Here is a 13,517-nt window from a genome sequence, read left to right as displayed (position 1 = left end):
AAATATATTTTTAGTCCATTTTCCCCACCAAGGGTTATATGCCATATTCTTGTTTATATTTAACTATATTAATATCTTTGTATAATGCCTTTCAATTTATAAACACTTTCATAAGGATCATAGCATATAATGATCATAGTTGCCCTGTGAACTAGGCAAGGAAGTTATATCACCTTCGTTTTGTAGAAGATGAATCTGAGGCTTGAGGATTTTAAGAGACTTGTCCAAGCGGGGGGCTAGAGCTGAAACACAGGCATCCTGACTCCTACTTCTATGCTATTTTCACTATACAATGTGGTCTTTGGATGAGTATTAAAAAATAAAAGACAGAATTATGCTCATGGCAACTTTATAATAATGTAATATTATGTTTTAAACAGAGAAATATTTTAAGACATATGTAGTATTTTCCACAAAAGGTCAAATCTTGTATTTAGAATTCCTAGACATAGATTTTTAGATACCTTTTAAATGGTTGATGCAGTTAGGTACACAAACACAGTGAAGAAGCTCTGCATTTGTCAATGTAGACAAACGACAATTGAAAATGACAAATGGCAACAGAAATGTATCAAGTGCCCATTATTTGACATGTATCTCATAATTGTTCAGTTACCTAGCCAAAGTCCAGAATGCTTCAATGGAATTGCCCTTATATGTTACTTATTATGATAGCAACTAAATAAATTCTAAAGGGCATAAAATGATCTATTAAATAAAAAATGTGGTATATATACACCATTGTGTATATATTCCATTAACACTATTCAGCCATAAAAAGAATGAAATCCTGTCATTCACAGCAACATGGTTGGAACTGGAGGACACTGTTAAGTGAAATAAGTCAGGAACAGACAGTTAAAAACTGCATGTTCTAAGTCATACGTGGATGAGGGACTTTCCAAACATGTCAAGGTTATGAAAGAACAGGAAAGATGGAGACTGTCTTTCTCACAGAATTCTCACAGATCTGAGGAGACAAAAGAAGATGACCACAAAATGTTTCATAACATCTTTGATTGGACCCTGAAACAGAATAAGGACATCCATTAAAAAAGAATGGTAGAACTCTAATAAAGTCTGGCATTTGTTAATAGTGTTCTACACAAATATTCGTTTCTTAGTTTTGATAACCATACCTGGTTATGTAGGATGTTAACATTAGTGATGTTAACATTTGAGAAAGCTGGGCAATAGATATACAGAAACTCTCTGTATCATTATGACAACTCTTTTGTAAGTCTAAAGTTATTTCAAAATAACAAGTTAAAATTTTAAAAATTCTCAAAATGTTTAAAATCTTTTGTTATATTAAGTGTCCCAGTTTGAGGTTTGGAACAAATATCACTGTAATTATACAAAACATTAAAACATAAAAAAAAGTAAAAAGTAGAACATAGGACACTAGGGTCTGAGAAGGGTAGGGGGAAGAAGGTGATAGAGATTTGTTAAAGGGTACAAAATTAAAGCTAGAAGCCTTGTTTTGTGGCATGCGCCTGTAGTCCCAGTTACTTGGGAGGCTGAAGTGTGGGGGTGGCTTGAACCCAGGAGTTCAAGGCTGCAGTGAGCTATGATTGTGCTACTACTCCAGCCTGGGTGACAGAGCAAGACTGTCTCTTAAAAAAAAAGTTACAGCAAGATAGGAGGAATAAGTTCTGGTGTTCTCTAGCACTGTAGGATGACTATAATTAACAATAATATATTATGTAGTTTCAAACTCCTAGAAGGAAGAAACTGAATGTTCCCAACACAAAGAAATGACAAATGTTTTAGATGGTAGATATGCTAATTACCCTGCTCTGATCACCATACATTATAGGCATTGAAACATCACTATGTACTCCATAAATGTATATAATTATTATATGTCAATGAAAATTTTTTTTAAAATAAGCTCTTTTTATAGAGAAAGAATAGTTAGAGCAAAAACATCTCAGAATTCAGCAACCTGCAAAAAATTTAAAACAATTTATCCCCAAATTTCCAGACCCTGTACTTTAAATCAGTCGTTGAATGTTAGTGTAAAATAATTTTATTTGGAAAGTATTAGGATGAGAAATTCAAGTTTATAATAGAAAAGTACTTCATAGAATTTCCCTCTAGAGAAGGAAATGCTAAACTGAAAAGACCTAGGAGATTTCAACTAGTCCCTACTCTTAACTTATTCTGACAAATTTTCCTATTGGTGACTTCTCATTCTTTCCTTAATATACATCTTCTTTCTTCTCCCTGATGCTGCTACATACACATTCTACTTTCTAGTACAGAAGGTTTTCTTTTTAACAGCAATCTCAGAGGTTAAATCTTTTTAGGTCTGTTTGAAAATCTGAATATATTACATCTACTGTGGATTACATAAAGTTTAGCAGGGTCTACATTGTTACTGTACCAAACAGAAATCCAAACTAAAGTATGTTAAACTGGTTAGGATATATTCATCCCTAGAGGAAGAGAGCACTTTTATCTGTGCACTGGAATGCAAACATGCCTTTTTCATTTTAAATATAAGCCAAATAATCTTGAATTTATACCACTTGCTTGGATGGCGCTGAGCAGATTCAAAAGGCATCATAGCTATGGGCTCTAACATATATCTTTGAGCTTTGATGTGTATTGACTTTCTCGTATCAAGGCTGTAATATCTCTGAAGTGCCCTGGCAGGTTAGTTAGGAATGGCTTTTCCTGCAGCAATTGAGATTGTTCTCTGTAATTAAACTACTTTTCCAAGAGTTCCCTTAAGAGGGTTTCCAAGATTTTTCACGATGTTAGTCTCTGGTTGATAGCTTTTTAGTTTGTCTCTTACTCTGCTATGAAAGAGGGATACTTGGCTTACTAGTTTCTTTTGTCTACGTCCTAACTTAATATCTAACCATAGCATAACATAAAGCTGAATGTGTGAACAGTGGGTCAATTAAAGAAGAAAGCACCACTTTTTAAATGACATTGTCCACAGAGCATCGGTGAGCTATATGAATTAGATTTGTAGTCCTTACGCACCTATTCTTTCATCTCTACCAAGGAGGAAATCCCAGAAATCAACTGTTTGATGAGGACTTATTTATTATTTAGTATTCATCTTAATTCATGTGAGAGGATATTGACTATAAGGTAGGCTCTATTAACTGATTAACCTAAGACCAATTTCCAATCCTCTTCTCTTTTGCCAGACTCCACTATGAAGTCTAAGGAAGCTAAGTGTTTACTAGTCCAGCCTCCCTTGCAGGCAGTGAGGGTTAAGTGACTTTCCTGACCTCCCTTGAAGGTAGTTCTGTCCCCTAAGGTGTTAGATTTTGCTTTCCTGATAAAAGACATAGATGTGGCTAGTACTACTGCTTTCTCCCTGTCTTAGTCCATTTGGTCTGCTGTAACAAAATGCCACAAACTAGGTAGCTTATAAACAACTGGAGTTTATTTTTCACAGTTCTGGAGTTTGGGAAGTTTAAGATCAAGGCACTGGTATATTTGGCAGCTGGTGAGGGCCCACTTTCTCATAGACAGTGCCTTCCTGCTCTGTTCTCTCAAGGTAGAAGGTAAATGGGTTCCTTTTGGCCTCTTTTATAAGAGCACTGATCCTATTCATAAGGGTTCCGCCTTCCTGAACTAATCACCTCCCAAAAGGTCCCACCTTCTAATATCATCACTTTGGGGGTTAGCCTATGAGTTCTTGAAGCTGTTCTGTTGTTGGCAGCCACCCTTATGAATTTGTTTTCAGAAAATTAAACTACCATTTATTTCAGGTTTTGTTAGCCAGAAGGATTCCTAATTAATATATGATAGTCATTGACCACCTTCAATGAAGTAGAGAAGAATCCTTTTCATTAGGACAGGGTTTCTTAACCTTGGCACTATTGACATTTAGTGTTGAATAATTATTGTGTGAGATGTCCTCTGCATTGCAGGTTTTTGTTTTTTTTTTGAGACAGAGTCTTGCTCTATTGCCCAGGGTGGAGTGCTCTTGGCTCACTGCAACTTCTGCCTCCCGAGTTGAAGCGATTCTCTTGCCTCAGCTTCCCGAGTAGCTGGGATTACAGTAACATGCCATCACGCCCAGCTAGGCTAATTTTTTTGTATTTTTAGCAGAGACAGGGTTTCGCCATGTTGGCTAGGCTGGTTGTGAACTCCTGACCTCAGGTGATCTGTCCACCTCGGCTTCCCAAAGTCCTGGGATTACAGGCATGAGCCACTGCACCCGGCCCATTGCAGGTTTTTAAGAGCATCCCTGACCTTGACTCATTGTGATACCCAATAATTTATCCAGATATTGCTGAATGTTATATAGGAAGAGTAGGCATTATCTAGTTCAACTCCTGTGTTTACCATTAAAAACTTGTCACATGGCTAGTTAGTGGTAGAGTTAGGATAAGAAACTAGATCCTCTGATGTCTCTGTGCTCTTCTCACAATCATGGCAAGACCAAGCATACACTAAAATAATTTAAATAATTTGGGCAGGATAATAAATAGCATCTTCAACTTTTAGTATGTCGGTGTCAAACATGTCTTAGGGCTATGTGCCTCCTGGAGTTGTATCATTAAATGATTAGTCTATTTATGTCCTAACTTAATATCTAAATATTTTCATTTTGGAGTTGTGTTCTTAAGAGATATATATTTGTATATTAAACTAAATAAGTTGTATATTTGGTGTTCTATAATGTAGAATTTTTTGCTTTAATGAAATTATTAAAAATAGTTTTAAGACAAGCCAAGCAAATTTTCTCTTCAAGTAGCTTATGTTGACTGTTTCTTCTCCCTGAGGCCCTCTTCCCTTAGCTAACCATATAGATTGCTGCTTTACTTCCTTCAAGTCCCTGTTCAAAAGTCACCTCACTAGACATTATTTACCTGTAACAAAATATCTCATGTACTCCATAAATATATACACCTAATATGTACCAATAAAAATTATAAATTAATAAAATAAAATGCAGTGGATTTAAAGCAAAAAAGTCTCATTAGAGATACAGTATCATATAGCCCAATATAAAAGAAGTAAATCTGATGAATAAGATCGGATGAATAAGAATATGAATAACTCTTCCTTATGGAAAAGTTGGTTAATATTTATTTATTTATTTATTCGTTCATTCGTTATCCAATTTTTTTATTTTGAAAGATGGAAATCTTACATACCTTTCAAGGTTCAACTGATGGATAATCAGAGAAACAAAATTCCAGAACAGAGTTGGGCAAACTACAGCCCTTGGACCAAATCTGGCTGGCTACCTGTTGTTATAAATAATATTTTATTAGAACACAGTCACACCCACTTGTTTACTTATTGTCTGTGGCTGCTTTTGTACCATAAAAGCAGAGTTGAGTAATCGTGACAGAGACCATATGGCCAACAAACCTTAAAATATTTAGTATCTGGCTCTTTATAGAAAAATTTTGCTGAAACCTACTCTAGAGCTGTAAGGAAATCTAGACATAATTTACTACAGTGGTCTGAAAGTTTTTAAAATGTGCACTTCTATCAAAAAATAAGTTTTACAAAAGTTCTACCATTTGCTAGGAACCATTTGAGGCACTGGAGATAAACATAAACATTACATTAAACATTACAACTAAGTGCCTGACCCCATGGGGCATAGCATGTTGTTTTCAGGGGAGAGACAGATATATAAACAGATCAGAAAAATTATATATGAAATGTACAGTGAAGTTTCCCTTGACTTCTCTGCCCTCATCTATACAACCCCACCCATCCATCAGGGTAATCAAAATTATGTGTTTCTTATGTATCTTTCCAGAGACTCTTTATATATATAAGAAAACATAAATATAGATTCTTATTACCCCATCATTTTACAGAAAAGTAACAACTATACAACTCCTCTGTAGCTTGCTTTTTTTCACTTAACATTGTGGGAGATCTTTTTCACTTAACAAGTGGAGATCTTGGTGCAGAGCTGAGTTCAATTCCTGGATATCTTTGTTAACTTTCTGTCTCATGGATCTGTCTAATGTTGACAGTTGGGTGTTAAAGTCTCCCATTATTGTTGTGTGGGAGTCTAAGTCTCTTTGTACGTCTCCAAGGACTTGCTTTATGAATCTGGGTGCTCCTGTATTGGGTGCATATATATTTAGGATAGTTAGCTCTTCTTGTTGAATTTATCCCTCTACAATTATGTAATGGCCTTCTTTGTCTCTTTTGATCTTTATTGATTTAAAGTCTGTTTTATCAGAGACTAAGATTGCAATCCCTGCCTTTTTTTTGTTTTCCATTTGCTTGGTAGATCTTCCTCCATCCCTTTATTTTGAGCTATGCATGTCTCTGCATGTGAGATGGGTTTCCTGAATACAGCACTCTGATGGGTCTTGACTCTTTATCCAATTTGCCAGTCTGTGTCTTTTAATTGGAGCATTTAGCCCATTTACATTTAAGGTTAATATTGTTATGTGTGAATCATCCTGTCATTATTATGTTAGCTGGTGATTTTGCACGTTAGTTGATGCAGTTTCTTCCTAGCCTCGATGGTCTTTACAATTTGGCATGTTTTTGCAGTGGCTGGTACCGGTTGTTCCTTTCCATGTTTAGTACTTCCTTCAGGAGGTCTTTTAGGGCAGGCCTGGTGGTGACAAAATCTCTCAGCATTTGCTTGTCTATAAAGTATTTTATTTCTCCTTCACTTATGAAGCTTAGTTTGGCTGGATATGAAATTCTGGGTTGAAAATTCTTTTCTTTAAGAATGTTGAATATTGGCCCCCAGTCTCTTCTGGCTTGTAGAGTTTCTGCCGAGAGATCTGCTGTTAGTCTGATGGGCTTCCCTTTGTGGGTAACCCGACCTTTCTCTCTGGCTGCCCTTAACATTTTTTCCTTCATTTCAACTTTGGTGAATCTGACAATTATGTGTCTTGGAGTTGCTCTTCTCGAGGAGTATCTTTGTGGTGTTCTCTGTATATCCTGAATTTGAATGTTGGCCTGCCTTGCTAGGTTGGGGAAGTTCTCCTGGATAATATCCTGCAGAGTGTTTTCCAACTTGGTTCCATTCTCCCTATCACTTTCAGGTACACCAATCAGACGTAGATTTGGTCTTTTCACATAGTCCCATATTTCTTGGAGGCTTTATTCGTTTCTTTTTATTCTTTTTTCTCTAAACTTCTCTTCACGCTTCATTTCATAATTCAATATGGATTAAAGACTTAAATGTTAGACCTAAAACCATAAAAACCCCAGAAGAAAACCTAGGCATTACCATTCAGGACATAGGCATGGGCAAGGACTTCATGTCTAAAACACCAAAAGCAATGGCAACAAAAGCCAAAATTGACAAATGGGATCTAATTAAACTCAAGAGCTTCTGCACAGCAAAAGAAAATACCATCAGAGTGAATAGGCAACCTACAGAATGGGAGAAAATTTTTGCAATCTACTCATCTGACAAAGGGCTAATATCCAGAATCTACAAAGAACTCAAACAAATTTACAAGAAAAAAAAAACAACCCATCAGCAAGTGGGCGAAAGATATGAACAGACACTTCTCAAAAGAAGACATTTATGCAGCCAACAGACAGATGAAAAAATGCTCATCATCACTGGCCATCAGACAAATGCAAATCAAAACCACAATGAGATACCATCTCACACCAGTTAGAATGGCAATCATTAAAAAGTCAGGAAACAGCAGGTGCTGGAGAGGATGTGGAGAAATAGGAACACTTTTATACTGTAGGTCAGACTGTAAACTAGTTGAACCATTGTGGAAGACAGTGTGGTGATTCTTCAGGGATCTAGAACTAGAAATACCATTTGACCCAGCCATCCCATTACTGGGTATATACCCAAAGGATTATAAATCATGCTGCTATAAAGACACATGCACACATATGTTTATTGCAGCACTATTCACAATAGCAAAGACTTGGAACCAACCCAGATGTCCATCAATGATAGACTGGATTAAGAAAATGTGGCACATATACACCATGGAATACTATGACACCATAAGAAAGATGAGTTCATGTCCTTTGCAGGGACATCGATGATGCTGGAAACTATCATTCTCAGCAAACTATTGCAAGGACAAAAAACCAAACACCACATGTTCTCACTCATTGGTGGGAATTGAACAATGAGAACACATGGACACAGGAAGGGGAACATCACACACTGGGGCCTGTTGTGGGATGGGGGGAGGGGGGAGGGATAGCATTAGGAGATATACCTAATGTAAATGACGAGTTAATGGGTGCAGCACACCAACATGGCACATGTATACATATGTAACAAACCTGCACATTATGCACATGTACCCTAGAACTTAAAGTATAATAGAAAAAAAATATGTATATATAAAAAGAAAAATGGGAAGAAAAAAAGGAACAATTTCTTGCTGTAAAACTTCCTCTTGGCCGGGCGCGGTGGCTCACGCCTGTAATCCCAGCACTTTGGGAGGCCGAGGCGGGCGGATCAAGAGGTCAGGAGATCGAGACCATCCAGGCTAAAACGGTGAAACCCCGTCTCTACTAAAAATACAAAAAATTAGCCGGGCGTAGCGGCGGGCGCCTGTAGTCCCAGCTACTTGGGAGGCTGAGGCAGGAGAATGGCGTGAACCCGGGAGGCGCAGCTTGCAGTGAGCCGAGATCCCGCCACTGCACTCCAGCCTGGGCGACAGAGCGAGACTCTGTCTCAAAAAAAAAAAAAAACAAAAAAAACTTCCTCTTAACATGTATAGGATTATATTTAATGTAATGCAAACAAGTTTCTTTTCATCTGTTTTTTCTCTGAAATAGTGATTAGTTGAAAACATTATATGTACATATACACACAAATACAGAGTTCTCCTTATCCACAGAAAATATGTCATATGTCACATTAAAGAGCAAATATACCAAATAGTGAGTTATTATGCCTTTGATAAGTAGAAAATCTTACTAAACAGAGTTTAGTTATAAGGAACCATGAAGGGAAATTAACAATATGCATTCCTAACCTACAGATGTAAAATGTATAACCAGGACCCCCAAATTATGAAACTATACTATTGTAAGATTTCTTAGCTATTTGTCGTTATTCGCATGCAAACACATGCCTGCAAGTACTTGTAAACTGTCAAATAAACCATGATCAAATTTAGAAAAATACTTCAGATTTTTCAAATTTACCTAGAAATAAAATACATGGTAAAAGCAGAGTATAGATAATTACCCAGTTACCTGTCACTTCAAATAAACAAAATATCAGAAATAAATTATATATCAAAATGAATTGATGTGAGTCACATACACAAATTTTGTGAAAAAAGTAAAATGATGAAACCTGAATAAAAAAAAATCAAGTGGAGATCTTTCCACATCAGCATATAGAGATCTGCCTTATTTTTTGTAACAGCTTTATAGTATTCAATTATATAGACATACCAAAATTTGTTTGACCAGTCCTTTATTGATGGACATTTTAATGATTTTCAATCTTTTGCCATTACACAGAATAATGTAAGTAATAACTATATATATACACACATACATACATATATACATACATACACTTAAGTATGTAGACACACCTACACATGCATATATACAACTTCATAGGCATGCAAGTGTTATTTGTAGGATAAATTCTCAGAAGTGAAAGTTTGGGGTTAAAGGGCATATGCATTTGTAATTTGTACAGATATTGCCAAAGTGTCCTCCAAAATGGTGGTACTAATTTACATTCTCATGGTGTATGAGAATACCTGCATGCTGAAGCCTAACTAACAGTGTCTTTAACTTTGGTTATTTTTCTAAGCTGATAGGCAAAAGATATTATCTAGTGTTATTTTAATTTGCATTTTTTATTAGAAAGGTTAAGCATCTTTATCTGTACATATGCATATTTGTTCACATTCTTTACCCATTTTCTTTTGAGTTACTGGACTTCTTTTGCTTACTGATTTTTAGGAGCTTTTAAAATATTGAGTAGATTAACTCTTTGTAATATGACTTGCAATTACACTTTTTCCAGATTGTTGTCTTTTGAATTTGCTTATGGTGTATTTTCGCCATGGAGAAGATTTTAATTGTTGTCAGATTTATACATTTTTTTCTTTTATTGACTCAGTCATAGTTAGCTCGCAGGCCCAAGGTTGAAAAGGAATTATCACATGGTTGCACTTTCTACAAGCAAATCTTTGATCTATTTAGAATATATGCATCTGGAATATAATGATATAATGTGAGGTATGGATTCAATCTTATTTAATTTTTTCTGGATGTTTATCCAGTTTTTCCAAGAGCAAGTCTTGACCAGCAAGTCTCCTAACTTGTTTGAGATATCACTTTTTTCACAGAATGCATTCGTTTATGTATTTGAATCTATTTTTGGATTTTTAATTCTTCCTATTCATCTTACAGCATCAGTATTTTAATTACCAAGGCTTTAAAAATAGATTTATTGAGGTTTAATATATGTAATGCATTATACATACATATTTTAGTGACAGGGTTTTGCTGTGTTGCCCAGGCTACCTTCTAGCTTTTAGGCTCAAAAGATCCCCCTGCTTCAGCCCCTAAAGTAGAGTGCATACATTTTAAGTGTACAATTTGATGAGTTTTGAAATATGTCGATGGTGAAACCATCACCATAGTCAAGATAGTAAATGTACCAATCTCTCCCTAAAGTTTTCTCTTGCCCGTCTGCAATGTTTCCCTTTTCTGCCTCCTGTGTCTCTCTTCCTCCTCTCCACAGGTAACCACTGATCTGCTTTATGTCACTGTAGATTAATTCACATTTCTGGAATTTTATAGACATGGAATTATATAACATGTGCTCTTTTTATGTAGCTTTTTTTCACTCAGCATAATTATTTTGAGATTCATCCATCATGTTGTGTTTATCAGTAGTTTTAAATATTGTGAAATAGTATTCCATTGTATGGATACCATTATTCGTTTATTTATTTAGCTGCTGATAGATGCTTGGGTTGTTTCCAGTTTTAGGCTATTACGAGTACAACTGTCATGAACATTCATGTATTTAAGTTTTTGTGTAAAGAGACATTTTGATTTATCTTGAGCAAATATCTAGGAGTGCAGTGGCTTAGTCACATGGTAGATGTATTTTTACACTTTTAAGAAATCATCAAACTGTTTTCCAAAGGAGTTGTGCCATTTTACATTCCCACTATCTGTGTATGAGAGTTTCAGTGGTCCACATCCTTGCCAATAGTCTTTTTATGGTCAGCCTTTTAAATTTCAGCCATTCTAGTGAGCATGTAGAACTATCTCAATTTGGTTTTAACTTCTATTTCCTTAATAACTAATGATGTTAAACATCTCACGTGCTTATTTGCCATCTCTACATCTTCTTTGGTGAGATGCCTGTTAGGTTCAATCTTTTGTTTGTCCTTCTATCAAGTTGTAAAACTTCTTTAAATATTCTAGGTATAAGTCCTTTGTGGGACATTTATTTTTCGAATATTTTCTCCCATTCCGTGGTGTACTTTTTCATTCATTTTTTTTGGAGCTCTGTAAGCCCTTTTCCCACCAGCTTCTGTTTTAGATTCAAGGGGTACATGCGCAGGTTTTTTACAAGGGTGTGTTGTGTGATGCTGAGATTTGGGATACAATTAAACCTATCACCCACATACTGAGCATAGTACCCAATGATTAGTTTTTCAACACTTTCCTTTCTCCCTTTTTCCGCACTCTTGTTGTCACCATTTTTATGCCCATGTGCATCCAATGTTTAGCTCCCACTTATAAGCAAGAACATACAGTATGTGGTTTTCTGTTTCTGCATTAGTTCACTTAGGATATTGGCTTCCAGCTGCAGCCATATTGGTGCAAAAAACAAGACTTCGTTATTTTTTATGGGCATACTGTATTCGACATTTTCTTTATCCAGTTCACTTTTGACGGGCACCTAGGTTGATTCCATGTCTTTGCTATTGTGAATAGTGCTGTGATGAAGATCTGGGTGTGTGTGTCTTTTTGGTTGAATGAATAATTGTCCTTTGGATATATCCCTAGTATTGGGATTGCTGTTCGCATGGTAATTCTATTTTTAGTACTTTGATAAATCTCCAAACTGTGTTTCACAGTGGCTAAACTAATTGACATTCCCACAAACAGTTTATAGGCATTTACTTTTCTCTGTAGCCTTCACCAACATCTGTTTTTTTTTTGACTTTTTATTAATAGACATTCTGACTTGTGTAAGATGGGATCTCATAGTTTTGATTAATGATGTTGAATATTTTTTTCGTATGTTTGGTGGCCACTTGTATGTCTTCTTTTGAGAAATGTCTGTTAATGTTCTTTGTCCACTTTTTAATGGGGTTATTTGTTTTTCGCTTGTTGAATTTTCTAAGTTCCTTATAGAGTCTGGATTTTAGACCATTGTTGGATACCTAGTTTGTGAATATTATCACCAACTCTGTAGGTTGTCTTTTTATTCTGTTGATAGTTTCTTTTGCTTTGCAGAAGCACTTTAGTTTAATTAGGTCCCACTTTTTCATTTTTGTTGCAATTGCAGGACTTAGCCATAAATTCTTTTCCAAGGCTGATGTCTAAAAAGGCATTTCCTAGCTTTTCTTCTAGAATATTTTTAGTTTTAGGTTTTGCATTTAAGTCTGCAATCCACCTTTTTTTTTAAACTTTTTGAAAATTTTTAACCTAAACAACAAATTTATTTCTCACAGTTTTAGAGGATAGTTTAATCCATCTTGAGTTAATGTTTGTATGTAGTTAGAGGTAGGGGTCCAGTTTTATTCTTCTGCATATGGATAGCCAGTTATCTCAGCATCATTTATTGAATAGGGAGTAGAGAGTTCTTTCCCCATTGTATGTTTTCATCAACTTTGTCAAAGAGCAGATGGTTGTAGGTGTGTGGCCTTATTTCTGTTCTCTATTCTGTCCCATTAATCTATGTGTCTTTTTTTTTTTCCTTTGGACGAAGTTTTGCTCTTGTCACCCAGGCTGGAGTGCAGTGGCAGGATTCCTGCTCACTGCAACCTCCGCCTCCCAGGTTCAAGCAATTCTCCTGCCTCACCCTCCCAAGTAGCTGGGATTGGAGGCATGTGCCACCACTCCTGGCTGATTTTTGTATTTTTAGTAGAGACGGGGTTTCACCATGTTGGCCAGGCTGGCCTCGAACTCCTGACCTCAGGTGACTATGTGTCTATTTTTTTTTCTGAATGTCAGTGAATTTCTTTTCTTTATTTTATTTTATTTTTTATACTTTAAGTTCTAGGATACATGTGCACAAGATGCAGATTTGTTACATAGGTATACATGTGCCATGTTGGTTTGCTGCACCCATCAACTTGTCATTTACATTAGGCATTTCTCCTAATGCTGTCCTTCCCTCAGCCCCCCAACCCCCGACAGGCCCTGGTGTGTGTGATGTTCCCTGCCTTGTGTCCATGTGTTCTCATTGTTCAACACCCATCTATGAGTGAGAACATGAAGTGTTTGGTTTTCTGTCCTTGTGATAGTTGACTTAGAATGATGGTTTCCAGCTTCATCCATGTCCCTGCAAAGGACATGAACTTAGTATTCCATGGTGTATATGTGCCACATTTTCTTAA

At 36.1% G+C, this 13,517-nt stretch overlaps 1 protein-coding gene across 8 annotated transcripts in view, besides 3 other annotated features; it reads left to right on the top strand.

Moving 5' to 3' along the window:
* Nucleotides 1-13,517, top strand: part of CTNNA3 (catenin alpha 3) — a 1,851,072-nt gene that overhangs the window by 384,076 nt on the left and 1,453,479 nt on the right. The gene's annotated exons all lie outside the window — the stretch shown is intronic.
* Nucleotides 2,099-2,268: an enhancer, noted in NCBI's record as "experimental_15678 CRE fragment used in MPRA reporter constructs". NCBI's record gives its function as "activates a minimal promoter by MPRAs in K562 erythroleukemia cells, with activity observed for both the introgressed and non-introgressed 10:69137094 variant alleles {active_cell/tissue: K562}" and the evidence as "EXISTENCE:reporter gene assay evidence [ECO:0000049][PMID:34662402]".
* Nucleotides 12,769-12,938: an enhancer, noted in NCBI's record as "experimental_15668 CRE fragment used in MPRA reporter constructs". NCBI's record gives its function as "activates a minimal promoter by MPRAs in K562 erythroleukemia cells, with activity observed for the non-introgressed 10:69126424 or rs9787459 variant allele {active_cell/tissue: K562}" and the evidence as "EXISTENCE:reporter gene assay evidence [ECO:0000049][PMID:34662402]".
* Nucleotide 12,853: a transcriptional cis regulatory region, noted in NCBI's record as "Neanderthal adaptively introgressed variant 10:69126424 (GRCh37/hg19 assembly coordinates) or rs9787459 in the experimental_15668 CRE". NCBI's record gives its function as "modulates activity of the experimental_15668 enhancer by MPRAs in K562 erythroleukemia cells {active_cell/tissue: K562}" and the evidence as "EXISTENCE:reporter gene assay evidence [ECO:0000049][PMID:34662402]".

This window comes from Homo sapiens, chromosome 10, assembly GCF_000001405.40.
Source record: "Homo sapiens chromosome 10, GRCh38.p14 Primary Assembly".
NCBI classification, from domain to species: Eukaryota; Metazoa; Chordata; class Mammalia; order Primates; family Hominidae; genus Homo; species Homo sapiens.
This window is presented reverse-complemented; position numbering and strand designations above follow the sequence as displayed.